Raw genomic sequence first — 26,105 nt, 5'->3', positions numbered from 1 at the left:
CAAAGCGATAGGAAACCTTTAATTCTGCATATTTTCAGTTGATATATGTGTTGGAAAAAATAATGACATAAGCGCTCATTATAGTTCCACGTGGCTAGCTATGGGCAATTTGAACTGTAATAAAAGACAGATTCAATACCAAATGTTTATGAGCAGGGATTACCCCCGAAAGGAAATGAAATTCAGTCACCAATTTGCTGTGATCTGGAAATATCTGCATCAAATAAACTGGGTTAGAATCTTTGTAACTTGAAGCAACGAACAAAGTGGAGTCTTTGCAGCCTCCCAATTGCCCCATGTGACATATTTCTGGTTTCTTAAAAATATCTTTATTTCCTTAAATTGTCTAGCACAGGAGAAAAGCAGATTTTCTGATTTTCAAGAGAAACAGGTTTTTTTTGAAAAATGTTTAGAAATCCTTATTGTGTAATTGTTGAAGTGAGTTGTGTTTTTTGATGTCTCATTGTCTACAATTTTGACGCATCCCCTTAAAAAATAACACCTAGGATCAGTCCCAGATGCCATCTCTCACAAATGCTCATCTTCTGTGACCACTCGCCTGTAACGTGCTTACCAGTGGTAAGTGACATATGACAAAACAACATGGAGGTGGTATTTTTACTATCGTAACCATCTGGAAAAATGCCTTGAAGATTAGTTTTAAAGACAAAAATATTCCTGAATTCTTATATGTTTAGTGTTTATTGATATGTGCAAGTAGTGTGTTACATGATGGGAGAGTAAAATGGACTTAACCTTTTTTTATTTTCAGTGACTAGCTAGAAATATTCTACAAAAAATGGTAGATCTTACAAATACTGCAGGTAAAACTTTAAGGAAACTCACTCATGAGAAGGAAAGACACTTGTATAGCTGCTCCTAGTGAGAAAGAAAATAAAGTTCTTAGCATACAAATCATATCTTTGAAATGTCTGCTAACAGCAGTAGGTATTGCTTTTAGGGATAAACTGTTTCTTATAGACCTTGAAATCCTATTTCATTCTTTATCTCCTATATAGGGACTGTTTTTTTCCTCAATTCAATTTAGTAAACAAACTTGTATTGATTGCCTATTTATATGAGGTGCTACATTAGATGATAGATATGACAAAGATAAATACATTCCCTGTCCTCAAGGAACAATGGTATAGAAATGGGCTAAAGCATGAAAACAAATAACAGAACAACACACACACACGTGCCCACACACACACACACACACATACACACAGCTTACATCAGAATTAATCCAACAAAGAAGATTTGAAATATCTATTATGGTTGCTGATAATAATTTTTTATATTGATTAGGTCTGGGAAATAAAAATTAATAAATTAAAAAAATATTTTTGTATCACCATATCTTTCTAAAACAGCAGAGGGAAAAATATGCTTTATAAAAATATTAACATTACAATATATGTTCTGATTTTTTGAAAGTCCTGAATTTTATCATTTGATTCTGAAGCAAGACTAGCCGTGTGAAAAATGGTTGATTTTTAAAAAATATTTTTCCTTAATACCATAGAACATCATGTAATTGATTTTATCAAGTATTCTGAATATTAATATTTTCCAAGATTTATGGTTGAATCAACACTTCATTTTGCAACGGTCATTAGTTCTGAGAGAATATCTGAACTTATAATTGACCTAGTTTTCTGGAAAATATCACCTTAAAATTACTAAATATTTCTTCTTCACAAGAAAAGGTCAGTAAGCCAGTTACCTTGTATAATTTTACTTTAGCCAGAATTCCATGACTTACATTCTTTCTAAATGACAATATTAATCCAAATCATTTTGAATTACTAGTTCCAAAGAAACCAGCTGGTCAGAAAAGAAAAAGTAATTGAGATTGGTCATGCCAATACCTTTTCATTATAAATGATCCAGCTGACAAGTTCAGCATGAGTCCTGTTTTGAAAGCCATTTCTACAATTTCACTTTTCAGTTCTGATTTCAGCAGTCACGATTTATATTGAACTATGTCAATTTTAGAATAAAATGTCTTGATTTCCTCATTATGCCATATACTCCAAAATATTTACTTCTAGGAATGTTTTATTGAAATGATAGGCTTATTACTCACAATTGATACACTTACTCTTTTGGAAACAGTGGAAGACAAGTCCACGCCAGTAAATTTGCATTGTTGGTTGCACAGGCAATCCCAAACAGTTTTACAGTGAGCATGGATTCCCTTGGAAGTGACTTTATTTCAAGGGGAAAATTGATCCTGAGAATAAAAGAAAGAAGAAGCATTACCTACCCAATTGTACTGATATTTTAATGAAAATGTTCTTATAATGTACTGGTCTGGGACAAAGATATTTAACTATTTGAATTGAGGCTGCCTCTTGAAATTTTTTGTTTAATCTTGTAAAAATGAAAATTTAACAGAAATATGTAGAATAGTGAGATTTTGTTAATCGATGAAAATTATTCCTGATAATGTTGACATGTAGGTATATTTTTAAAAGTTACAATAAGTTGAACATTTACTCTTAAGCTGTTGCAAGCACAGATGAAAAACAGACTTAGAAAGACACTGTGTTAGGGAGTTGGAGGAGGCAGGAAATAACTCAAAATGATTCTCAAGGTTTAAGTTAGCTATAATGAGATGGAGATTTGGAAAAGAATATTCCAGAAAGAGGAAAAAGCACAGACAAGGGCATATATGGATGAACAACTAGGTGTGTCTGATAAATGGTGAATGGTTCATTGTGGCTAGAACAAAAGATGAAGTCAAGTTGATAGGGGAGATTGTGGAGGATGTAATTAGAAAGATAGGTGGTTGCCAGAATGCTTAAGAGCTCTACATGCCAGGCAAAAGAATTTCAACTTTTCCCTAAAGTCAAAAAGAAATATTTGAAAGATAACAGCCAAAGTGTAGAGAGTTTTTTGCCATTTTAAATGTGGACCATTCTGGGTCATGATGAGGTCCTAGGAATTTGGAGGATGGTCACTGAAATGTAACACATATACAATCTCTGGATATGATAAGGTCAAGACTCTCCGAGCTCAGATCCTGGATGGATTATAGATACTAGCAAATAAAATTGGCTAAGGATAGACACAGGATTTTTAATGATGAGAAAAACTCGAGTTTGGGTTGAAATCATCAATATATGTAAGGAAGTGTCCAGAAGGTCATAAATACTACTGTAAGACTGGATGGGGTATACGTAGGTGGCATGATTGTTTGAGAAGGGGCTTTTGACAGAAAGTTGAGATTGTGATCTGGCATCCCTAATAGGGGCAGGGAGACATCTACCTTTCATTCTTTTCTGGAGTCATCTCAATTGTATAGAATTATATGATCAGGTTCTCATATATGATCATTATATGATCATATGTCAATTATACGATCGTTATATGATCATATGTCAATTATACGATCGTTATATGATCATATGTCAATTATACGATCGTTATATGATCATATGTCAATTATACGATCGTTATATGATCATATGTCAATTATACGATCGTTATATGATCATATGTCAATTATACGATCGTTATATGATCATATGTCAATTATACGATCGTTATATGATCATATGTCAATTATACGATCGTTATATGATCATATGTCAATTATACGATCGTTATATGATCATATGTCAATTATACGATCGTTATATGATCATATGTCAATTATACGACCGTTATATGATCATATGTCAATTATACGACCGTTATATGATCATATGTCAATTATACGACCGTTATATGATCATATGTCAATTATACGACCGTTATATGATCATATGTCAATTATACGATCGTTATATGATCATATGTCAATTATACGATCGTTATATGATCATATGTCAATTATACGATCGTTATATGATCATATGTCAATTATACGATCGTTATATGATCGTATGTCAATTATACGATCGTTATATGATCATATGTCAATTATACGATCGTTATATGATCATATGTCAATTATACGATCGTTATATGATCATATGTCAATTATATGATCATTATATGATAATGCCTCAGAGAAGCCTGGTGTTTAGGAAAGAACTATTTATGAGACAAGGAGATGAAAGAAATTTTTTTTCTAGGAGTTGAGATGGGGAGATATGTTTACAGTAGGTGAGAATGCTAAAGAGGAATGAGAAAACTGGAACAAAGTTTGGCAGACAGGGCCAGAGTCATGGGAGATAAATCACAGATGAATGGGAAGGATAAAGAGCAAAGAGACTTGAAGAGTGACCGAGCATCTTTATGGGATGATACCTGATGGCCATGAGATGTGAGGGAAATACACAGAATCTACTGGCCTTGTCATTCCCAGTTGAACTTTGATGTTAAATTATTAGAGCAGTAGGTGATTATTAGAGTACTGAAGATGACAAAAGCCTATTGTCCAACTGAAAGGTGCGGACTGAGGTTCACCCAGCTGAGGCCTCAGGTAATATTAAGCATCTTCTCACACTAGGAGTTGGCTTTCTAATCTGGAGCCTAGGGAGCAGTTTTTACCCAGGGTTTCAAATCAAACATTGGTGACTTCTTTTTTTCAGTGCCTGTACAGCATCCAGCCTTGGGGATAAGGAGAAGTTAATTTAATTCAATGACCATAATTGAATTTGAGGAAGTACATCTGTCTCTCCTACTCATGGTGTCCACTGAGATAATCAAATCCAGACCCAGCGTGGTTATAGAGCAGCTAACAGGATGAAAGATAGAAGAGCTGTTTTAGAAGTAAAAGGCATAACTAATACCTGACTGATGGCATACCAGTGGAATAAGACAATAAAGAATTAAAGACGAATTCTAGTTTCTAGATTACGACAGATATTTTTAACTGATAGGGAATAAAGAAGATGGGATGGGAATAATTAGTATAGTTTAGGGTATGATGTTATTGAGTTAATGATAATTGTGAGATGCCAATATATAAACTGTCTGCGGATAGGATGGGTCCAAGTTTGGATTTGGATCTATTTGGATCTATTTATGCTCAAAAAATGACCCTATTGACTAAGATGCATTTAACCTTTCTAAGTAATGCATTTAACCTTTCTAAGTCTTACTTTTCCTTTTGCACAAAATGGAACTGCTATTCTATAACACAATATATGGCAAATTGTAGGTTGTATACCGCATTATATTCATTTATTCAATTATTATTACAATAATTTGTATCAGCCATTGTGCATTTAATACACAGGTTTGTAAAAAACACATTCCTTGTAGACAGATGAAATGTAAGTTGATATGATTTGGCTTGGTGTCCCCACCCAAATCTCATCTCGAATTTTAATCCCCAGGTGTTGAGAGAGGCACCTGGGAGGAGGTGACTGGATCACAGGAGCGGTTTCCCCCATGTTGTTCTCATGATAGTGAGTGAGTTCTTAGAGATCTGATGGTTTTCTAAGTGGCAGCTTCTCCTGCTCTCTCTCTTTTCCTGCCACCTGGTGAAGAAGGTACTTGCTTCTCCTATCCCTTCTGCCATGATTTTAAGTTTCCTGAGGCCTCCCCAGCCATGTGTAACTGTGAGTCAAGTAAACATCTTTCCTTTATAAATTATCCAGTCTCAGCCAGGGGTGGTGGCTCATGCCTGTAATCCCAGCACTCCCACCAAGATGGGCAGATCACCTGAGGTCAGGAGTTCGAGACCAGCCTGACCAACATGGAGAAACCCTGTCTGTACTAAAAATACATAATTAGCCAGGCGTGGTGGCACATGCATGCCTGTAATCCCAGCTACTTGGGAGGCTGAGGCAGGAGAACTGCTTGAACCCGGGAGGCGGAGGTTGCAGTGAGCCGAGATCACACCATTGCACTCTAGCCTGGGCAACAAGAGTGAAACTCCATCTCAAAAAAAATAAATAAATAAAAATAAAAATAAAAAATTACCCAGTCTCTTGTAGTATCTTTATGACACTGTGAGAACTGACAAATACGTAATTCTAGCTAGACTTAATGGAGAAAAATAAAGAAAATACTAGAGTGAGAAGAATCTTCTATTGTTAAAGACTGTCAAATTTTAGATTAAAATATTAAATTGGATACCTAGATATTTCGGTATCCAAAACTAAACGTCCTCTCTTTGTTTTCTTTCAAATTCTTTCACACTTGTCATATTCATTTAAGGTAGTATGGACATATTTCTCAGCTTAAAAGAAGCTCTGAAACTTGACATAAAATGCTGATGATCCTGTGGAATGCACAGCAATTTCTTTAATGTTCTTTCTTTTACTTATAATTGACTTTCTATTCAGCTTTCATATTTCTGTGCTAGGATGAAAACTGTAATTTCACTTTATTTCTCACATGATCTAGAATGTTCTTTTTTTCCCATTAAGTCTGGCTTCTTCATGTATAACTTCACTTGTTAGTGAGCTTTTTTTATAACAAGAATGAAAGAAATTATATAAGTTACAGTGGATAGTTACTGCCAATCTCCATTCTGTCATTTTTATTAAGAAAAATAAATTCCTTTAGGATAAGAATAAGTGCTTCCCAAGGAGTTATTTATCCATTCTTTAATACCTATGAATTTTTAAAGCCAGAATAATCTCAACTTCACTGAAAATTTTTTTAACTTTTGTATAGCTACTTAAAAGTCAAAGGAATGAACTTTCAGACAAAAAAGGAAAAAAAAATAAGAGACACATCAGTAAGCGGAAACAGATTGCTTTTTTTTTTTAAACCAAGGAACAGGTATAGTATAGATCTCAAGTTTTAACCACATGTTTGCCTCACTATACTATTTAAGAATGAATAATCACTACAATTTTTCTTAAAATTGTTTTATTGTATATGAAATAGTTTTGCTAAGACCAGAGTAAGCTTCTGAGAGTGAAAAATGAGAGATTTTGAAAGCTACACTTTTAATTATTTATTTATTTATTTTTTTGAGACAGAATCTCACTCTGTTGCCCAGGCTGGAGTGCAGTGGTGCAATCTCGGCTCATTGCAACCTCCTCCAGTGTTCAAGCAATTCTCCTGCCCTGACCTCCCGAGTAGCTGGGATTACAGGTACAGGCCACCACGCCTGGCTAATTTTTGTATTTTTAGTAGAGATGGGGTTTCGCCATGTTGGCCAGGCTGGTCTTGAACTCCTGACCTCAAATGATCCACCTCCCAAAGTGCTGGGATCACAGGAGTGAGCCACTGCACCTGGCTGAAAGTACGTTGTTTAGAACTCTCCTATTAATACTGAAACAAAATGAAGACACTAAACAATAGACCATTGCAAGTATTTTATCTTTTCACTGAGTGAAATGGGGAGCTAGTTCAGGATTTTTAGACAGAAGAATGACATGCCTTGACTGATATTTTAAAGAGACAACTTTAGCTGCTGTGCAAGAAGAACTACAAAGGTGTAAGAGAAGTAGGGAGACCATTATAAAGCTATTGTGGTATAGAGAGGAGAGATGATGGTTTTTTAGACCATTGAAGGTGATGAGAACATATTCTGGATATGTTTTGAGAAGAGAGCCATTAAGATTTTCTGAACATAGGGTCTGAAACGAGATTCAGGCTAAGGATTTTGATCTGAACAACCAGAATTAGAATTGATTATCCAGAATGGCCATCCATAGGTGGAGTGGTTTGAAATGTAAGATCAGAAATTTAGTTTAGGATATATTGATTCTCTAAGTGTGGAGTTTGTGACTGATGGCTGGGTTAGTGATATAAATTTGGGAGCTGTTGGCATTTAAATTGTATTTAAAGGTATATAACTGTAAGAGAAAAGTGAGGGAATAATGACATATACAACAGAGAAGAGGGTTAAGGGCTAAGATCATAATCAGTCTGGGAGAAGAGAAGGACATGGAGAACAAATGGCCAGTGAGGTAAGAGTCAGCCATGTGGAAAGCAAATTTCAAGATGGAGGGTGAGATCAACAGTGCCAAAAGCTTCTGATAGGTCATGTAAGATGAGGATTGAGAAACAAACATTGGATTCAGTCATGAAGGTTACTGGTGACAATTTCAGTGGAGCAGAGGTGATGAAAGCCTGATTGGAGTATGTTATAGAGCAGAGAAAAGATAACTGAATAAAGTGAATATAGATAGTTATTTGGAAGGTTTCACTACAAAGCAGAGAAAAGAAATGGGGTAGCTGCTGGCAGGAGGATGGAGCAGAATAGAGGTTGTTATTTTATTTCTTAAGTTAAAACTTGAATACTATTCATGGGATGTAAATACTCTTGTCAAGATTTTATATGTTGTATGGAAAAGTATGTAAGTCACAGTAAAACCATCAGCTTAGGAGTCACAGTGGGTCTAAATGCTAGCTTTGACACTTTCTGGTTGTGGGAACTGGGCCAAGTTAATCAGTAAGTATCAGAACTAGCATTCAGAATTTTTTCTTTGAAATTGAGTTTAGAATTAGATTTTTATCTTGAATTATCTATATGATGGCATAAGTGTGTGAGTTGAAAATAAATCTGATGTTTTAAAACAACCAGAAATTACTTTTAATTAAATCAGAAGAAAAATTTTAGGGATTGAACTGATTAATGGTTTTGTTTGTTTGTTTGTTTGTTTGTTTGTTTTTAGACTTGCTCCGTAGCCCAAGGTAGAGTGATGTTGGCTCACTGCAACCTCTGTCTCCTGGGTTTGAGCAAATCTCCTACCTTAGCCTCCCGTGTGGCTGGGATTACAAGTGTGAGCCACCATGCCCAGCTAATTTTTATATTTTTAGTAGAGACAAAGTTTCACCATGTTGGCCAGGCTGGTCTCAAACTTCTGACCTCAAGTGATCCATCTGCCTTAGCCTCCTGAAGTGTTGGGATTATAGATGTGGCCACCGCACCTGGGTTGGTTAATAACTTTTTAAAGGAGTCACTTGTTACACAAAATTTATTAATTTGCCCAATAACACTTACTGGACCCTTTGTCTGGTGCTGCTTTACCTGCTGTCGACTAAATAAAATTAAAAAAAAAATCTTTGTATTATTCGGTAGGAGCATACAGAAATCTAAACAAACAGTAGGTACTGTAAGAGAAATTTACAGGTTAGACCAAGCAAGGGAAGAAAAGATGAACAATTTTGCCCAATGATACAGGAAGGGTTTATACAGGAGGTAAAAGATGCATCGTGAAAGATAATTATGTGTTTCCCAGATGGGCAAGTGGAATACTGTGTTCCTGACACATGGAGGATCCCTGGCAGAGGCCTGACTTCTCAGTTCATAGTTAGGGTAAATAGATCAGATGCAAAGAATGACTGGTGGACAGTCAAGGGATAGTTAGGGTAAGTAGATAAGATGCAAATGACTGGTGGATAGCAAGAACGGGGAATGGGGTTAATTCTAGAGGTAAAGATGCAGAGATAGGTAGGGGCCACACTACAAAAGGCCTTGTGTGCTTTGCTAAATGATTTGTACTTTGCCTTATAAGAATTGGAGAGCTACTGAAAAATTTTACAAGCAGAGTTGATTCTATGAAAGAAAAAGGGATATTATTATTGAATGTCAGGTCTTTGGTCAAAGGAATAAAGAACCTTACCCAAAGAAGGGGAGATAGAGATTGTCATGGTCCTATAAGAAGGCAGATTTAGTTTGGAATGGGAGGGGCCATGAGGTATGCGAGAATTGAAGGTCACATGCCATGTTTCAGGACACAGTCTCCATTGATTGTGGTAAGAGTAGAATAGATGGTGCTATCTAACATCATCCTCTTCTACAAATTCTGACACGTATTTATTAATGGAAAAGCATCATACCGGGAGTCAAACTGTCTTCTAAGAAAGCCAGATCATCTGAAAGAGCTGAGGGGAAGTAGGCTGGGGAATTTTCTTCTGCTTGAGGTGGGAAGAATATTGATCTGAGTGAAGCAATACAGACTGCAGGGAAATGACTGAGAGCAAGCTGGCAGAGCAGTGAGGAAATGCAGCAGTAACCATGGAAGAGCTGTGAATGAGGCTGATGAGCCCCCTGGGGTTCTGAGTAAAGAGAGGGCTTAAGTTGGGTGCGGGGAGCAAAAAAGTGGAGAAAGACAGTGATAATGTTAGGAAGTTACTTTATCTTCTTGACTTAACAAATCTTTACAGAAGAAGGAAGTGGGAGCCAGTCACCCCAAATTAAGCTTACACATCTATAGATGTTTATTGTCAAAAAAACTTGATTGTTTAAATAAATTTGTACTTCAGCTTATGTGAGAAAATTGAGAAAATGGAGATTACCCACGTTATCAGGAGGGTTGTCTTTTCTTTGTTACACCTGGACTCCCTCCACTCCTGCCTCAAAGAGAGCATATTCCTGATATGCACAGTGTGTGAATGATTAATAAGTCTTCTTCTTTTTTCAATTTCCCTTTTTCTCAGTTCAATAATGTGAATTGGACACTTGTCTAGGTTTCTAAATGGACTTTTAATCTGTTGAATTGAACAATCAGTTATCTATTAGCCCTAGTGTACTTATCATACCACTGAATCAAATCAACTGGCAGCATATTTTTTTTAAATTACATCCCTTGCTTTTAAAAAAAGGGGGAAAAAGCTGACATTTATTACATAAATGATCCAGATACAGTAAAGATTAAACTTACGTTTCATTCCAGTTGACCAAGAAAAAAAATAATTTCTTGTCTGGAATATTTCTGTAGTTTCTCACTTGGCACAGCTTCTTTCCAGCATATGTAAGCCAACAGGTAAAAGAAAACGCTTTGTAGCTAAAATGAAACAACATCAATTCAATATGCTTAGCACTTTAAAGAAACTAGCTTTCTATATGGGTCAATTATTTTTGTAGTCAAAAGTCAAATGATAAAGTGATGACTGCTTGCATAAAGCATGCTTTAAAAATTGCTTTAAGAATTTAGGCTGAGTATGTCAAAAAGACAGTGGAATAGGAGGCCCTAAGACCTTCCTTTATTCATGGAGAGAAAAATATGCTGACCGATTCCTTTTGAAAGAAAACCAGAAACCAGTTAAGAGGCTCCTGTATCCCAGGTGAATTCAAAACCAGCCATGTCAAAGTTGGTAGAAAAATTTGTGGCACTCACTTACCAGAGCCTCTTCCCTGGCACAGTGTGGCATGATCAGAAAGAAACTCTCAACTTCTGGCTTCCCACCAAGGAGGGAAAGAGAACACGGGGACGTACATCTAACACTTAGACTTAGCACCTTTGAGGCTACACAAGGAACTAGCTTTTGTCTTTCCTGGATATAAATGATGACAGGAAATGTCACCAGTTTAGGGGCCACTGAAAACAAAGATGATGGTTTTTACTAGCACGTACTTGCTATTGCCTCTCTCCACAACTCAGCATAGAATGATTTTTTTAAAAAAACCCAATTTATGGCTTCTCCTTGGGTAGGAAAAGAGTTGATTCGTGTGTCCAACATTCCAGTTTTGGGGCTACTATCAGAAGGACTAGTTTCTGTCTTGTCTGTCTTGGAGCACTGACAGGACCCTGCATACCCTAGATGCCTGGAGACTGTTGAGAACAAAAAAAAAAAGTTGGGTGGCTTCTTATTGTTCCAGAGGTCCTATGGTACAGTGGACAAAGCCTATATACCTTGTCAGCCACTCCCTGGTCAGGGAAAGTGATGGGGAAGAAAGGAGCATATGTCCAACACTTCAGCTTTTAAAGAGATTGCCTGAGGGACTGGTTTCTGTCTTATCCAACTAGAAGCACTGATGGGAGGCAGCATACTTTAGGTCCACACTACTGAAAACAAAAAGATCTGATCACCTCACAGAAATTCCAGAGAACCTGCAGTACCACAGACAGACACCAGAAAAAGCAAGAAAACATGAGCTCCACAAGACAGAAACCAGCAAAATCCCTCTAATTGGGAATTTACAAGTACAAGCAGAGTGAAGATGTGCTCATATGAAAGGTTTGGAAGGCACCCAGAATCTCTAGCAAGGCTTATTTTTGAAGGTTTTTTTTTTTCAGTGGGAAGCCAGACAGACCATAAAGACTGAGAGAGTTAGCTGTTTTTGCAAATGCACATATCTCAACACAAGGTAATAAGGCACACAAAGAAAGAGGGGATCATGACCTAGCTAAAGAAACAAAGGAACAAAACAAATCAAGTCTAAGAAAATAAAGTTGTATAAATTACATGACAAATAGTTCAAAATACCCATCATAAAGATACTCAATGAAAAATTATGGATGAATAAAATGAGAATATCAAGAAAGATATAGAAAATATTATAAAAATAACCAAATAGAAATTATGGAGCTAAAGGATACAATAACTGAGTTGAGAAATTTACTACAGAGATTCTGAAGCAGAATTGATAAAGCAGAGGAGATAATCAGTGAACTTGAAGACAGGTTATTTGAAATTATCCAGCCAGAGAAGCCAAAAATGAAAACAACAACAACAACAACAATAACAAAAACCCCACAATGAACTGAAGAAAGCCAAAGAGAATAATGGGCACCGTCAAGCCGGCCAATATATCAATGTATCGTTATGGGATTTTCAGAAAGAGAAAAAAAGAAAAAGAAAAAAAGAGGAATGCTCATTTGAAAAAGTAATGGTGAAAAACTTCCTAAATTTGGGGAAGAAAATGAACATCCAGATTCAGGAAACCCACTGGATGCCAACTATGAAGAAGCCCAAGAAGACCCCACAGGGACATATTAGAATCAAATCATAAAAAGTCAAAAAGATGAAAAGACCATTTCACAAGCAGCTAGAGAAAATGACTAATCATGTACAAGAGAACATTCGTAAGATTATTAGTGTATTTTTCAGCAGAAACTTTGTAAGCCAGAAGGGAGAGAAATAATATATTCAATACGCTGAAAGAAAAACCTGTCACTAAAGAATACCATATTTGATAAAATCATCCTTCAAAAATGATGAAAGAGAAATACTTTATGAGGTGAATAAAAACTGAGGGAGTTCCTCACTACAAGACCTGCTTTGTAAGAAATGCTAAACACTGTCCTTCAAATTGAAATGCAACAATGCTATAGAGAAACACAAAAGCATGTAAAACTATAAAACTCACCGGTAAAGGTAAATATATAGACAAATACAGAATACCGTAATGGTGCTAAATAAATTACTTTTAACTCTGGTGTAGCATTTAAAAGATAAAAGTACAAAAATAGCTACAACAATAAATTGATATGTAATATAAAAAGATGTAATTTTTAACATCAATAACATAAAGTGTGGTGGGAGGAGAAATAGAAGTACAGAGTTTTCGTATGTGATTGAATTTTAGTTAAAAGGTTAAAGAAGGTTGTTATAAATATAAGATATTTTGTATAAGACTCATGGTAAACACAAAATGAAACTTATGGAAGATACACAAAAAACAAGAAAAAAAATCAAAACATATCATTACGAAAAAAATCAAAGCAAGTCACTACCTCCCCCACAAAAATAACAACAAACACTAAAAATACACAGCCAGAGAGGAAAAGACAAAGAAGATACAAGACAGAAAACAATGGACAAAATGGCAATAGTAAGTCCTTTACTATTAATTACTTTAAAAGTAAACAGATTAAATTCCCCAATCAAAAGACATTATCCATTTAACCAACAGCATGGCTAAATGGACAAAAAGTATATAAGATCCAACTAGATGCTACTTACAAAAGACTCAATGTAGATTTAAGGACACAAATAGGCCAAAAATGAAAGGATAAAATAGCTATTCTATGCAAACAGTAACCAAGGGGAGCAGGGGTGGCCATTCTTACACCATGAAAGTCAAGTTTAAGTAAAAAACTATAACAAGAAAAAGAGAAGGAGATTGTATAATGACAAAAAGGTAAATTGACCAGGAAGATATAAGAATTTTAAATATATCTGTACCCAACGTCAGAACACCCAATATATAAAGCAATATCAGAACACCCAACATATAATGCAAACATTGACAGAGCTGAAGGAATAAATAGACAGCAATACAATAATACTAGACATCAATAACCCACTTTTAATAAGTAGAACAACCAGACAGAAGGTAAGTAAACAGAGGATTAGAACAACGCTATAGACCAAATGGACCTAACAGATATATACAGAACATTCCACTCAGCAGGAGCAGAATACATATTCTTCTGAAGCAAACAGGAAACACCCTCCAGGCTAGATGACATGTTAGGTCACAAAACAAATCTCAACAAATTTAAGAAAACTCAAATAATATCAAGTAGCTTTTCTGACCACAGGAGAATGAAATTCAAAGTCAATAGCAGAAAGAAATCTGGAAAATTCACAAATAGGTGGAAATTAAACAACACACTCCGGCAAAACCAACAGTTCAAAGAAGAAATCAAAAGGGCAATTACAAAACATCTCAGAATTGGCAGTGCTTACAGCTTGAGGAGAGCATCTTGCCCAGGTGCAGTGGCTGCCATTGAGATCCACCTGAGGCCTTTTGCCTTCAGCCTTTTGCCTTCAGCCCTTCAGCACTCCCAGGCTGCAGCTCCTCACCTGTTCAGCTTGCTCACTCGCCCTCCCTTCCCTGTAGCCTGCTGCACCATGGAGTTGGCATTAGTGGCACCAGTGGCAGTTGAGCTGGTCTGCAGCAGCAAGTACCAACATTTATAGAATGAGGAAGAGCCTGAGGAACCTGAGAAGGCTTCAGGTGAGGTTCCTCCACCTTATGGCATCAACTCTGCAGAGAGTATGGTATATTTGACTACACAGATGAGTCTAATTTTCCAAAGCCCCCATTTTACAATGTGGTTGCAAACATTACCAATTTATAATAAAGTCATGAGAATCAAGGCTGAAGCTCTTTCTTTGGTTCCTGGAAGAGATGAGGATTTTGTGGGACAGGATGATTTTGATGATGCTGACCAGCTGAGGATAGGAATTTTTTTTGGTTAACTTTTGTCCTGGCATTCTTCTTAACTGGGTTAAGTTCTTTTCCTGTCTTTTTGCCTCACTGCTTCAGTGGCAGAAAGGTATGACACCATTTCAGAATTTGGTCTCTTTCTAATTAAGTGGGTCCTGAGAGTCAAATTTCTAACCTGTTTTCCTTGATACTTTGATGGTCAGCACTGCTGCTGTGAGATGAACCAAATGCTGAGTTAAGGTGCCCGATCCAATGTGATGATCATAAATTATTAGACATCTTGGGGTTGAAATGATCTCAAACTATCCTTACATTTTAAATGGGTAAGCATCCCAGCTTGCTGGCATAAAGCCAAGTGTGGGATGCAAGTGCCTAGTGGACTACTTCCGGTAAGCAGAACTGGCAAATGTTAGTTTGGTAAATAAACTCAGCCTAAAGTTAGCAGAAGAAAAGAAATAATAAATATGAGAGCAGAAAAAAGTGGAATACAGAATATTAAAAATAGAACTACCATATAATCCAGCAATCCTACTTCTGGGTATTTATCCAAAAGAACTGAATTAAGATCTTGAAGAGCTATCTGAACTCCCATGTTCATTTCAACATTGTTCACAGTAGCCATGATGTAGAAAGAATCTAAATGTTCACCAGTGGGTGAATAGATGAAGAAAACATGGTATATACATACAATGATATATTATTCAACCTTGACAAGGAAGAAAATCCTGTCATACTACAACATGGATAAATATTAAGGACATTATGCTAAATTAAATAAGCCAATCACAGAAACACAAATACTAAATATACCACTTCTTGAAAGCAAAAAGTAGAATGTTGGTTACCGGGCACTTGGAGATAGAAAAGGAAGAGGAAGAATTTTAGCCATGCCAGATGAAAAAGGTCTACAGATCTCCCATACAACAATGCACATGTAGTTAACATTACTGTACTTTACAATTAAACTTTTTTAGTAGGGTAGATTTCATTTTCTGTATTTTTACCACAATTTTTAAAAGATTGAAAAAGAAGAAACAATATGCTAATGTTCTGGTAAACATAAATTATTTAGCACTAGATTTTTGTATAAACTTCTAATGTGAAATTCAGCATTGGAGCCAAAGTTTCTAAGAATACTTATTCACTTTGCAATTTTAAATTGAATGAGAATTTGTGTGCATTAGATTTTTAAACATTTAATGAATTCATAGGATAACTAACAATAGTGCTAATATTTCGCAGCAGTTCTGGAAAGTACATACTGTGTTTGAATATTTTTAACTTAAATGTAAAACATGTTTGTACACAATATCTGATGAGCTTTCCAACATTAAACACACACACACACACCCACACCTCCTGACAAAACTATAAAATCTTGTAAAAAATCTTAATAAGTAAAAGCAATATTAATTTAAACTATTATATATGTATATAATAGAAATTCTCTGCAAGTAGCAAATTTTCCCACATATCTAAACAGCAAACAGGTCTTTTAAAATAAAATGTTCTTAACATTTTGAGATATCTTTTTTTAGTTTTTATAGCTGTCATCTCTTGATCTTTTATATGTACTGTTGCCTAACAATTTAATGTGATAATTAGAATGAAAGAGTTTGGTATTGATACAGACAGGAGGCAGGAAAATACTAGACAGAAAAGGGTGGGGTGCCTGGCAAAGCCTCACCCTCAAGCCTGGGCCTGAAGCCTAAAGTGAGGACGTGTCTTCCTGTTTTCCCGCTTGAATGTTACTTTTTGGCCCACCCCCCGCCCCATCCTATAACCATAAAAACCCCAGGCTCCAATGACAGATGGGCAGCAGAGAAAGAAAGAAGAGAAAAAGCAGCTTGAGGTCAGCAAGAAGCAGCTTGACTTCAGAGGGGCGGCTTGACAGCAGGATCTTTCAGAAGATTTCGGCCAGCGATGGCCGAACTCCAGGAAAAGACCACCTTCCCACTCCATCTCCTTTCCAGCTCTCCATCCCACTGAGAGCAACTTTCATTGGCAGTGAAATCCCCCACATTTACCATCTTCAATTTGTTCATGTGACCTAATTCTTCCTGGACATCAAACAAGAGCTCAGGATACAGAGGGCTGTCACACTGAGCTGTTAGACACTTAAGCTGTCCGTGGATGGCAAAGCTAAAAGTGTACTGTAACACATGTCCTCTGGGGTGCCAGAGATTGTAGGTACCCCCCAGATGCTGCCACGGGGCCACATGGAGTTCTACTCCTATCAGCACCCAGAAGCACTTGTCCTGGCCCGTACACCCAGTCACCGGCGTGTTCCCCCTCCTGTGAGGGGCTGAGAGCTATGGACTGAGTAAATGAGCCAACCCCTTCATGAATCCTGTGAAGGGGTCAAGGGAACCATCCCGTTTCATCGGGGGGCTTGCCTAGGATACTTCAGAAGGGTAAGCAAAATGTGGATTTATCTCTCCTTGTCCTCAGACTTTCCTCTGAGCTATGCCATTTGCAGGGGATAGGATGCAACCTGCCATCTCTCTCTTTCTTTTGGGTAAAAGGAATGTTGGCTCTGTTTCCCTTCCTGGAGGTCTAGTTGTCATGTGGGACTGGAATAAAGTCCTGGGGAAACTGAAGGCCTCTTGCCAAGGCCACTCCTCAGTATTGCCGGAAGGCCACAAGACTGGACCTGTTCCCCAAGTGTCTATCAAGGTGTCAGCCAAGACCCCCAGACTTTTCCTTTGATATCTTTCCTTCCTTCTTTCATGGTTTGAAATGGCTCCTGGCTCTTCTTTTATAATGTTAAGGGTTCTACTACAAACAGCAGCAATGATACTAGGCAGAATGTATGTTTAGTCCAGCCATCAGATATGCAACTCAGAACAATACAATTTCCATATGTTCTTAGAGGTATGACCCCAAACCCCAATGGCCACAGGTGTGTGAATGGGATGGGCAGGTGAATGGTGGTTCCCTTCTCATCCCCTCCCCTCCAGGCTTGGGTGCCTGGGCATGTCCGTAGCATGCATGTGCTGTGCCCAACAGCTAAGTGGGGTGGTGGGAGTTAGCGGTGCATGCTGCCCAGGCCCCAGGGTAGTCTTTGGGGCCAGGGACCCCGTGCAGCCGGCTGGCCAGTGCTCTCTGCATGCCTTCCCCTCCTGCCACAAGCCCATAGACTCTTTCTTTCCCTGGCAAGGAGTTCAGCCTGGTTGGAACTAGGGGAGAGATACAATGATTAAAGTAACCTATTCGTAGAAAGCAAGAGGTTCTTTCCCTGGACCACCCCCATTTGCCTTTTAAACTATTTTTGTTCTTTTTTCTTTTCTAAGTGAGAGGTTTCTTTTCCTACCTCAGCACTCTGCTTACGATAGGGAGGCAACAGAAGAGTGAGCCCTGCTGGCTGATAACTGCAAATTTGGCAGGGCCCATTTGGGATTTAATTTAAAAGGACCCTGAAATACCTTTTGTTCCCAACCTGATTCCAAGCTTCAGGTTAAGGCCTTAGGAAGGAAAACCAGATCTGAGGGATCCAAGCAAGGAAACAGGCACAATGTAAATGGGCAGGACAATTTCTGCTAATTAAGCCTCCACGTCATGGAAGGAGGCCATGCTCCATGGCACAGATAAGGCCTGGGAAACCCAAAGGTTGCTGACAGTAGGGGGAATGGAGGCATGGCATAAGTGAATGTGGACAATTCCTATTCTCTAAGACCTCCCTGCTTCATGGGTGCAGGCTGCAATGGCACCTGTGGGTGGCATCTGTGTAAGGTCACCAGGACTTGAGAATAAGAAGACAGAAGAGAAAGGGGCGATGCCTGCTTCCCCTCCCTCACATCTGAGTTTTTGCTGAAAGAAGGAAGGGAAATGAGGGATACCTATTTCCTTGTCTTTCAGAATGGGCAACCAACTGTCTCCACCATCACCAGTTTATACTCTTCTGGAGTGCATCCTGAATGACTGCGACTGCTTTGACCCTCCAAATCTGGAGGAAAAATGCCTATTAGCCCTTTGCACAAAGGTTTGGCCAAATTATGAGGACTGGCTTGGCCTCAGGAGGGAACCATTCATTTTGATATCATCTGGCAGTTGGAACTTTTCTGTAAATGCAAGGACAAATTGTCTGAGACCCCATATGTGCAGGCTTTCTTTACCTTGCAGGGCAATCCAGACCTTTGCCAACAGTGTAGGATTGATCCATCCCTCCTATTGGCCATCTCAGGAGAGGCTGCAAGGGGCAGTCTCAGGGAATTAAAGAAACAAACCCCAGAGACACCTCCCACAGGGGAGCCAGCTCCCTTCAGCCCTGCTCCTCCGGGTTCTCCCCGTCCTCTCTCCAGCTTGCCCCCTCCTAGAAATACCCTAGACAAGCCCCAGTATCACTCTTGCCCCTCCAACAGATGCCTGTTGAATTTGGCCCCAGTAAGGTCCAGGTCCCCTTCTACCTACAGGACTTGAGGCAAATTAAGGGAGATCTTGGCAAGTTTTCAGATGACCCTGACAGATATAGAGAGGCTTTCCAGAATTTAACCCAAGTATTTGAACTCTCCTAGAAAGACGTTATGTTACTTTGAAAGCAAACCCTGACTAACACTGAGAAGCAGACTGCTCTGCAAGTGACAGAGTGATTTGGTTATGAGCTTTGTATCACATATAGCATCAGGGAAGGTGCCAAACTTTATCCAAATGAAAGATGCAGTATCAATGGATGACCCTGGAATGGATCTCAATGATGAGATGGGAGAATGGAAGAAGAGACACTTACAGGTGTGCATAATGGAGGATTTATGTAGGACTTGGACCAAGCCTCTCAACTATACTGACCTATTCATGAAAGACCAGGGATTTGATGAGAATCCCACTGCCTTTCTGGAAAGGCTGAGAGGCCTTGGTAAAGCACACATCTCTATCTTCTGATTCTGGTGAGGCATAACTAAACATAAAGGATAAATTTATTACTCAGGCAGCCCCTGATATAAGGAGGAAGCTGCAGAAACAGGCCCTGGGAACAGATACTACTTTAGAGGACCTCCTGAAAGTGGCCAACTCGGTTTTTACAGTAGAGATGGGGGGACACAAGAAAGAGGCAGAAGCTTTAATGGCCACCATGCAAGCCTACAAATCCCAGAATTCTCAAGGTGCACCTGTTGACTGCTACAGATATGGCAAGAATACTTATCTCTCTTATAAAGTTTAACTGCTCCCACACAAGGTTTAATTTCTTTCACCAAAGTGAAACGGCTTGGGGTACAATGTTGTTAGCATATTTCATTTCTTCTTTCTGTAATCTTTGGCACTAGATTCTTTCCTTGTATAATACACATGTGTGACCCATGCATACTTAACCTTGTAAAACTTGGGCTTTTTTTTTCCTCATGTGCCTAGAGGCCATCAAACTCTGAACAGTCAGGCAACTGGAGCCTTGGACAATGGCTCCCTTTTGCTAGGGACCCTTAGGTAAACTTTAGGGAGGAATCTGACTGCCGTTTTCCCCAAAACAATGCCCCCTGTCAGCAGGAAGTAGCTAAGATTGGTCATCTTCCATATTTTAATGGCAGTAAGATGTGCCTCTTCAGAGCAGGGAAGTGATATGGACAGGAGGCAGGAAAATACCAGGCTGAAAACCCTCAAGCTTGGACCTGCGGCCCAAAGTGAGAACATGCATTCCTGTTTTCCTACTTGAATGTTGCTTTTTAGCCTGTCCCACCCACCATCCTATACCCAGAAAAACCCCAGGGTCCACTGGCAGAGGGGTGGCAGAGCAGCTGAGTGGTGGAGTGGCAGACTGGCAGAGCAGCAGAGTGGCAGAGAAGGAAAGAAGAGAAGCAGCAGTCTGACATCGGCAAGATGCAGCTTGACTTCAGAGGGGTGGCTTGACAGCGGGATCTCAAAGAAGAGTTTGGCCAGGAATGGCTGAACTCCAGAAGAAGACTACCTCCCCACTCCATCCCCTTTCTAGCTCTCCATCCTGCTGAGAGCCACCTTCATCAGCAATAAAATCTCCTGCATTTACCATCTTCAATTTGTTCATGTGACCTGATTCTTCCTGGATGCCGAACAACAGCTCGCGATGCAGAGGGCTGTCACACTGAGCTGTTAAACACTTAAGTCATCTGCGGATGGCAAAGAGAGCACTGTAACAGATGCCTTCTGGGGATCCAGGGATTTTGAGTACCCCTCCTAGACACTGCCATGGGGCTACACAGAGTTCTACTCCTGCCAGCACCCAGAAGCACTTGTCCTGGCCCCTGCACCCACTCACCTGTATGTCCTCCCCTCCCATGAGGGGTTGAGAGCTGTAGGCTGACTAAACAAGCCAACCCCTTCATGAGTCCTGCAGAAGGGTCACGGGAACTGTCCTGTTTCAGAATCAACTCTAGTAACCAGTTAAGGATGAAGTACACTGAAGTATACTCACTTCTGCTGTGGTAAACAGAAGGGACTTTAGAAAGACAACATCTGGAGTTGTCATAGATTAGTTCTAGAACTGTAATTTCTTAATCTGCAAAATGGGTATGATAGTGCTCTTGTGTCACTGGTGTGAGGATTAAATAAAACAGAGTTGGTCCTCTGTATCCCTAGGTTATGCATCCACAGATTCAACCAACCACAGATCAGAAATATTTTTGAAATGACAATAAAAATAAAACAAAGGGATATATTGTGAGAATTGCATCATTAGGTGATTTTATTGTTATGCGAACATCCCAGAGTGTACTTGCACAAACCTAGATGGCAAAGCCCACTACACATCTAGGGTATACGGGATAGCCTATTGCTCAAAGGCTACAAACCTGTACAGTATGTTACTGTCTTGAAGACTGTAGGTGGTTGTCAATAATGCCTCACAACACATTTCTCAGAACATAATTCCCCAAGTCATAAGCTATGCATGAGTGTATTTACATAGTTTACATTGCACTAAGTATTATAAGTAATCTATAGAAGATTTACAGTATACAGGATGACGTGCATATGCTATGTACAAATACTATGCCATTTTATGTAAGGAGCTTCAGCATCTGTGACATTTGTTATCTCCAGGGGTCCTGGCACCAATCCCTTGCAGATAACAAGGGACAACTGTAATGCAGGTTAAGTATTTTTCCCAGCGCAAAACTCACAGAATGTGCTCAGTTAATAGTAAGTACTATGATGAGGATAAATCAGCAAAACTCTTAGAATGTGCTCAGTTAATAGTACTATGATGAGGATAAATCAGAGGATATAGGACTTGTTTGTTGTTCTTCTACCAGAATGCTGGTAGAAGATTTTTCTTCCACTTTATTATCCTTGATTTTTATAAGCTGGACAAAACAAAGCAAAATGGCATAGAGGAAATGGTGACATGATTGCTATATTAATTTTTAGTCTTTTATGTCTTATTTATAATGTGAGGCTATATTTTTCACTTTAAGAATAGCTTTGACCATATTCCATATGTTTATTATATATTTTTATTACCTTTAAGTTATAATGTTTTCTAACTCCTTGATTAATAAAATTAAAAGTACATACTTAAATTTATGAATATATTTATTTTTTGTTACTGTTTTCTAAGTTGCATCTCAGAAAGTGGATGAGATCTTTATTATATAGGTTATTGGAAATTTGCCTACTATTTAATATTTGGTCACTTAAAATAAATATTCTATATGTGCTTGAGAAGAATTTGTATTTCCAAATTATCTTCTGTAAGTACAATATATATTTATTGGATCAAGCTCATTAATTATATGCTCACTCCTATATCCTTCCTAATTTCTCAGTAATGTATTAATTCCTGAGAGAGGAATACTGGTATCCCCCACTATCATATTGGCCCCATCAAACTCTTCGGATTTCTGTCAATGTTATTACTTTGTTGCATCTTTCTGGTGAATTGAATATTTCAATACCATGTCAGGACTTTATATTTAATGATGCTCTTGATTCAGAGTCCATTATGTTGGTCTTTATGCCAATATTTGGTTGGTATATGCATCAGTATTTATATTGAGAGATTGTGCCTGTTTCCCACACATTCCTTAATGTGCTAATACGATGAGCCAAGTTTATAAATTAGACTTTAGTGACATGAATGGAAGACATAAACTGCACACATGTACCTTTTAATGGCAAAGGTTATGGGACAAGAAACCTCTATATGCCATTCGAATCTTCCCCATAAAAAGGGCATCGTCTTGATGAGAAAGAATTTCAACTTGCCCCTGTGCACACAGTATCCCATAATTGAAAGTACTGTCAAATCATTTTTTGCACAGATATACTTTATTACATAATATGTATTACTGTACATATTATGCATTTTTGCATAATTATTTTTGCATTCTATTTATCAAACAATGATACCATACTTTATGAGTGACTTAAGGGATTTTTTAAAAATAATGTTTACTGACTTACTTATAATCTCCTCATATAACAATATGATTCTGCTGAACTCTTACTAATTATTACTAACAATCATTTTAAGAATTGTCTAGTCAACCACTCTTACACTGCCACTAATTGCTCTGGACTCACTTTCACTGATGCTGGCCCTCTTGACCTCAGGCACTTAGCTTTGTACCTCTATTGTAATATTTTCTTGGCTTCCTTGGAATATCTCCTGGTCTACCTTCCTGTATGGTCATTGCTTCTTTATAGTTTTCAGCTCAGCTTACATTTTTGCCCTCAGTAATAACCACGACATGGACTACGTATTCCTGCTGTCGAGACCCATGTAACAATTTCACAAACCAAGTATGACACATTTCTCTATTCAAGGGATTTTGTTCAAACATTTTTAACCAATCTTTATCGAGTGCCTGTTGCATGCCAGGACATGTTTTGGGTACTAGAGGTTTTTAAAAACTATAGTCCTACCTACAAATGTGCATGGTCACACGGACATTGTAAAAGGACTTGGGGGAGAACTAACAATATGCTATTATTAAGATAATGAGCATCATGAAATACATACACAAAACGATAAATTTATCTCATCTTTGAGTGAGATAAAGGCACTTTCAATCTATAGAGAGGATAAAGTTAAGTAATTAAATTTCTATTCTATATAATGAGAAATTTAGGATAAATATGAATGAGTTCTTAATCAGTGTAATGAATCAAGGAAAGAATTTGTTTAATCAAATTATTCTAAGTAAGATACATTCTCATTTGTCTTTGATAGCTTGAGTGGGGTGTTCCCTGAAGGCATCTGTGGAGTAGATGATAATTCAGTTTCAGATCCTCAGATTTGATAGTGAATGTTTCACTCTTTTTTATTGTAGAGTCCTGTACCTTAACAAATTAGTTTCACTTGCTGACATTAATTATGGTCCTTTTGACTAAAGCCATCTAGAAAGTTGTCACTTTGTTATTTTACCCCCTCAGTTTGTCAGTACCTATGCTTCTGGAGATACCTCTGGCCTGGTTTCTTCCCAGGTGTCTTGCCTCCAAGATAGCCCCCAATGATTCTGTCTCCTGGTATGCGAACCCTTGTATCATGCTTTCCCACAGGATACAATATGGCAGAAGTAGTGGTATACCACTTCCAAGATTAGATTACAAAGATTGTCTCTTCTGTCTGTGGTGTTCCCTTGCTCATGGACTCTCTCTCATTCCTTGGATCATCTGCTCTGGGAAAAGCCAACTCTATGGCCTGAGGACATTTGTTGAAAACTCTGTGGCAAGGAATTGAGGCTCCCACACCTATACACCATGGGGAACTGAGGTCTTTCAATAACCACATCAATATCACCTTAGAAGTGGATTCTTCAGCCCCAGTGAGCTTGAGATGACTGTGGTCTCAGTCAACAGTTTGACTGCAACTCATGGGAAACCTTAAGCCAGATCCACCCAGCAAAACTGCTTCCCAGATTCTTGAGCCTCAGAATGTGAACTCATCAAAGTTTGTTGTGCTAAACTGCTAAGCTTTGGGGTAATTGGTTATGTATTAATAGATAACTTATATACTAGGTCCCTAGGAAAATCTACAATAAAGATGTAATTTGTCATGAGGTAAGACATCTTGCTGGAGCCTCTTCCCAAAGAATTTTGACTGGTCCATGGATTCCTTAAGACAGGAATAGCTTCATGTTTTCCCATGTCCAGCCCTTTATAGTTTGTTCCAGTAATGAATGGCTGGGATGATTTTGTTTCCTTCATCAAAGCCCTAATTTATTTATTGATTATAGGAACATTTGCAGAAAAGCATTATTTTATATTTATAATTATATGTACATATGTACACATCTACCTGTATATAACAATATTAGAAAGTGCTCTATTTTTACTCTGCATGTAGGTACTATGTAGAGACAGAAAAAGGAGAGTTGGTTAGATCATTCATACGCACACACACACACACACACGCGTAAATGCACACTTTTTTATATTCATATGCATTTTACATTTGCACGCATATGTATATTTACACACATATGTATATATTTTACATTTTGCATTTACACACATATGTATATATTTATATATATATTTATCCTTGTCTCTCTACATATAGACACACATATATAAATGCATGCCCTATACATATAGCTTTATCTGTATTTATCCGGCTATAGGGATTTTCCATGGGAATTCAAACTAAGGAGTATTTATTGATGGTTAGAAAATTAAAAGAAAACATTAATTAGAGTAATAATTTATTTTACTATACATCGGCCCTTTAAAATTTTTCATAAAATTATAAAAGGAAAAAGAATAAAAATATTATTTTATGGATTCTAAACAAATATGTGTGTAGATAGTGTTTTTTATATACATAGGTAAAATTTCCTCTTTAATTTACTCTGAATATTTATACAGTTTATTTTTTAAAAAATACAGATCAAGATAAAGATTGATTTTTTTTTTCTTTTTTTTTGAGACAGAGTCTCACTCTGTCCCCCAGGCTGGAGTGCAGTGGCACGATCTCAGTTCACTGCACACTGCAACCTCTGCTTCCTGGTTTCAAGCGATTCTACTGCCTCAGCCTCCAGAGTAGCTGGGATTACAGGCACGTGCCATCATGCCCTGCTAATTTTTTGTATTTTTAGTAGAGACGGGGTTTCACCATTTTGTCCAGGCTGGTTTTGAACCTCTGACCTGAAGTGATTTGCCCGCCTAGGCCTCCCAAAGTGCTAGGATTACAGGCATGAGCCACTGTGCCCGGCCAAAAGTTGAATGTTTACTGAAATTATTTATTTCAGTTTTTCCTTGAGATGCTAAATGCAGTAAGTATAATAAATCCATTACCAAATTACTATCTTATCAACTTTAATTATCTCTATATTACTGTAATTATGTTATTGAAGAAAATACTACAGAGTCAACTTAAAATCTGATGATATTCCATGTGTAATTGTCGTTCATTTCTATTGAAACGCAA

General features: G+C 37.9%; 1 protein-coding gene and 1 pseudogene across 16 annotated transcripts in view; one reads left to right on the top strand and one right to left on the bottom strand.

Moving 5' to 3' along the window:
* PIK3C2G (phosphatidylinositol-4-phosphate 3-kinase catalytic subunit type 2 gamma) overlaps nt 1-26,105 on the bottom strand; it is a 483,857-nt gene that overhangs the window by 353,399 nt on the left and 104,353 nt on the right. For 13 of the 16 annotated variants that reach the window (XR_931307.3, XM_047429007.1, XM_017019471.2 and 10 more), the window contains 2 exons: nt 10,533-10,655; nt 2,108-2,239 (listed from right to left, as the gene is read on the bottom strand). Coding sequence is in view for 15 of the 16 variants with exons in the window: in XM_047429007.1 (XP_047284963.1) it covers nt 2,108-2,239; nt 10,533-10,655 (255 nt within the window). In the remaining variant the exon portion in view is untranslated. The remainder of the gene's footprint in view (nt 1-2,107; nt 2,240-10,532; nt 10,656-26,105) is intronic. The other 3 variants (XM_047429008.1, XM_047429009.1, NM_004570.6) reach the window with 1 other exon arrangement.
* On the top strand, nt 14,275-14,986 carry NDFIP1P1 (Nedd4 family interacting protein 1 pseudogene 1; annotated as a pseudogene).

Source organism: Homo sapiens, chromosome 12 (assembly GCF_000001405.40).
Source record: "Homo sapiens chromosome 12, GRCh38.p14 Primary Assembly".
Classification (NCBI taxonomy): Eukaryota; Metazoa; Chordata; class Mammalia; order Primates; family Hominidae; genus Homo; species Homo sapiens.
The sequence above is the reverse complement of the archived record's forward strand: the minus strand, read 5'-3'. Positions and strand labels throughout refer to the sequence as shown.